This window comes from Homo sapiens, chromosome 20 (genome assembly GCF_000001405.40).
Source record: "Homo sapiens chromosome 20, GRCh38.p14 Primary Assembly".
Lineage (NCBI taxonomy): Eukaryota > Metazoa > Chordata > Mammalia > Primates > Hominidae > Homo > Homo sapiens.
The window spans coordinates 7,333,960-7,338,248 of NC_000020.11; positions in this window are offsets into that span (position 1 = coordinate 7,333,960).

Sequence of the window (4,289 nt, forward strand, 5' to 3'; positions counted from 1 at the left end):
GGGAAGTGCCTATGAGTCGTAACTACAATAGGATTTGAGGGGAAAACCCCACATGATTTAATTTTCAGATGTATGCCTCTGACAATCCTGAGGATTGAGACAAACACCACTAGTCATAAGATGTAGTCATCAGTGGAGCTTTACTGGGGAAATTTGTAGGGCAAAGAATCAGCAGAACACAAGTCAAGCTCAGTGTCTCGCATGTTATAGGAAGGCACACTAAGATGGGCAGGTTTGAGTACATTGTGGATTATGATCGGGAGAGAGACCTCATGCCTCTGCTACCATTTAAAATATTTACAGTGAGGTTCGTTGCTTTTCAGTCAGGTAAATTGACCTTGGAATTTGAACTTCAGACCCTTAATGGAGTTTGCATACAGAAGCCAAGTGTGTGTAGAAATCCCAGTTTCATTGCTGCTGAGCCAGCTCATTGCCAAGATACAGAAGGGAACTGGGGAAGGAAGTCTATCTGAGTTGTCCAGCAGACAAAGACTTAATTCTCCTTAACAAATGGTTCACTTCCTCTGTCTTTCCAACTGGACACCAATTCCCTTGGCCCACTAAAGTAAATCTAGGAAGCATTCATTTTGATCCAAAACGGCCTTGGTAGACTAGGATTTTCAAAGTCTAACAAGAATTTGGCTGGGTTTGGAAGGCATATTTTTTCTCTTTGTTATTCTTATGAATTACTATGAGCCTGTCTTTTTTCCTCACTTGGGAAAAAATATGGGCATGTGTGAGTATGCATGTGTATAAAATAAAAACAAACATATGTGTCTTGGCCTCCCTGTTGTTTCTTAGATCTAAACAAATATTAGTGAGTCATTTAATGTCTATATTCTCTTCAGATACAATTTTAGTGACTTGGGGTAAATATATTATTTAGAAGTGTACACCTCAGAAATGCCAGCTCCTATCTGGGATGTGTGGATGAATATCAATACTCTATTTGCATAGCTAATGATTAAGATTGCAGACTGAGGAAGGAAAAGGAATTGCTATTAGAAACCCCAAATCACACTTGTGGGGAGTGGCAAAATCAAATTAGAATCTAGGTGATCTGACTGTAGTACCTGTGTTGTCCAGCACTTTTAACTACTACTTCTAAATACTTGGACAGAAGGCATTTGAGCCAGTGTGTGTGTGTGTGTGTATGTGTGTGTGTGTGTGTACTTGCTAATTATATGTATAACACATGCTCTGTTATGAACTATGAAATTCCAACCCCTTGGTCATATTACAGAATGGGCTCTAGTGTATTCTAGATTCTCAACTAAGGCTGTGGAAAGTGTTGATGTTAGAAGTGTACCTACACCACTTCTGTGGATAGGTACTCAATATACTCAGGTTTAAGGGTCTTTGGTGGTGGAAAGGTGAGAATATTTATTGTTGAATTATTTGATTAAATAAATTTTAATAATTTTTTTAAATTCATGAATATTTTTTCCTGATAAATATTTTTTAAAATTACTTTCAATCTATTTTTTCTTTTTTGAAATGAAATAAAATATTTTCTTATTTGTAAGAGAGAATGGTAATGGAATTGTTAAACTGATATTTTCTTATTTACCTAATGAATGTAGTACTTTGCAGTAGGCAGTGAAGAAAAAGCTCCTTTTGAATTTTTAAGGCTTGGAGCAAATTTATTAAACACATTCTTGGTGTCAGTGTTAATTTTTTGTTTTAAAGATTCTCTTCAATTAGGTTTCAAATGTCAATTCATTTTGAAAAATACAACAAAATCTGTATGAATTTATGTTATAACAAAGAACATGCTCAACAATAAATCTACAGGTGCTAATGTTTAAAATACATGATCTTAGTCTGCAAATCATTATGAAACAGAAATTGTACATTTAATTCACCTGGGCTGAGTACGTAAACCTTCATGGAAGTATACCTATACCCTTGGTAAGCTTTCACTGTATAAAATACAGGAGGTGATGGACACAGAGTAGCAAGAGTTTAAGAGGTAATTTTCTTATCCAAACTAAAGGTGTTAACAGCAGCCTGTAAGGCTAACAAAAATATTGTTTATCATAGGCTTTGATGTTGAATACTGCTGGCTTAAGCTGAACTGTTTGTAGGCTTTTTCTATCAGAATGCCTACTCTAAAGGTATTGATACTATTTCTGTCAATCACATTGTTTCTCCAAACAGTGAAGAGGAAAGAGTTAAACATAGGTTTGGCACATTCATGGGAATTAGACATTTACCCCAGTAGGAGTTGATTTTGCAGTTCTGACCCCGGTGCATGTGTAATTATGTAGTTTCTATGTGAAGATAAGTTTTTGCTAACTTTTCTTTATGCATTTAGCCACTCTCTACTCTACTCACACATTAACGTATTACATAAACATTACTCTTCTCTTTCTTGTAATGTCTATGTCCCTTTACCTAATGCACGAACCATTCAAGTAATGCCTTTTGGTGTATGTATTGCTATAAAAATTATCCATTTTTGCATCAGACAGATCTCAATTGGAATCCTAACCTTCTATCTTACTAACTGTGAAAAATGAAGTATTTAATTTACTAAACTTATTAGACACACTACGTTTTCTCACACTGGAGAAATAATTATCACATTTTTGTGTGTGTATAGTCATTACCAGTTTTGATGCTTATAATAACAATCAAAGACAAGTCTTCAGCAATCCTATGAAGCAGATAGGTTTATTGTCTCATTTCACAGGTAATGAAAGGAGTCTTGGTAATTAATTAGCTGATCTAGATTCCAAGCAGGTCTATGGATCTCATAGGCTGTGTAAAAGAACGGATACTATGATATAAATAATTGATCCTTGATACAGGATTGTGCTTACAAAATTTAAAGATTTCAAAACTAAAATATTTCTAAAATACCAAAATGAACAGTAATCAATGTAACAATTACTCATCTATTCACCAACAAGAATGGTCATACACTGATATTTGACATATTTTATTCAGATCTTATTCTTTTTCATTTTAAGAAAATAAACCAATGTAGATAGAGATGAAGTCTTACTTTGGCCCTCCTCTCCCCTTCTTTCATTTCCCAGAGGTACAGCCAGGGAGGTTGGGTTTTGATTCTAGTCATACACTCTGGTGAGGGGCTGCATCTGCTCCAAGAAGCTGGTTTACCTTTTAACATTTTGTTCAAAGGATTTTTATTGGCTAACAGAAACCCTGATAAGTTTTTCTCCCCAGCCCCACCACCTCCCCTTCCTCTAATCCTGAGAAAACTACAGTTCCCTACCTACTTTTTCACTCTATATATGTATCTATAGCAAGAGCATTATTGTTTTATATCCTTAACATTTTCCATGAATTGTATATTTGTATTTAAGTATAAATAAACATACTTAAAGTATACTTCCAGTATTTATTATTGATAAGACAAGTTATACTATGATATTATTTTCCAACTTGCATTTTCATAAAACATTATGATTTCAAGATTCATCCAAACTGATACCTATAGATCAAATTTCATCATTTAATGCTATTATGATATTATATAAAATATGTACAATTTTGTTATTCATTTCCCTATCAATACACACTTAGGTTGTTGGTAATTTTCAATTTTACTATGAATATTGGCACTAGGATAAAAATTTAGTAGTTCCCACCAGTTTTCCCAACTTTGCTGACCTCAAGTCCTACAGTATTAATTGATTTCCACTCTTGTTAATTGCTGAGAGTCTCACCATCTTTTACCCATAATCAAAGTTTTATTCAGAATCCCATCTGAGTGTCTTTTGCTCCCTACTGGACTTGACAAATACCTGATTAATTCAGATTCTGACACTGAAACTCACATGGGGTGAGACAAGCTCTGGATGGGGAGAAGTGGAGTTGGCACAGCTGGTAGTTAAGTGTGTGCAGTCAAGTGGATTCGAGATGATGTCAGAGAGAGGAAATCTTTAAAATTTTTTTTTTGACTGCTTATCCGTATTCCTGTGTTATAATGGGAAGAAAAATGGTCTTTGTCTCCAGTTTCTATAATAGAGTTCCCAAAAGTCTCTCCTGAGTGCTAAGAATGTCTTTGTTATTCATTGCATGTCTTTTCTCATCACACCTAAGTTTATGCTAAGGAGGTAACTCAAGGCAGGGAAGAGGACCCTAGGTGGCTTCAGAATGGAGGCTGGTCACCAGAAAGGCCACCCTCCAATCTCTGAAGAGGGGAGTGGGGCTGGAGATTGAGTTGAATCACCAATGGCCAATGATTTAATCAATTATTCCTAAGTAATGGAACCGTGATAAAAACTTTAAACAATGAGATTTAGGAGCTTCCAGGTTGG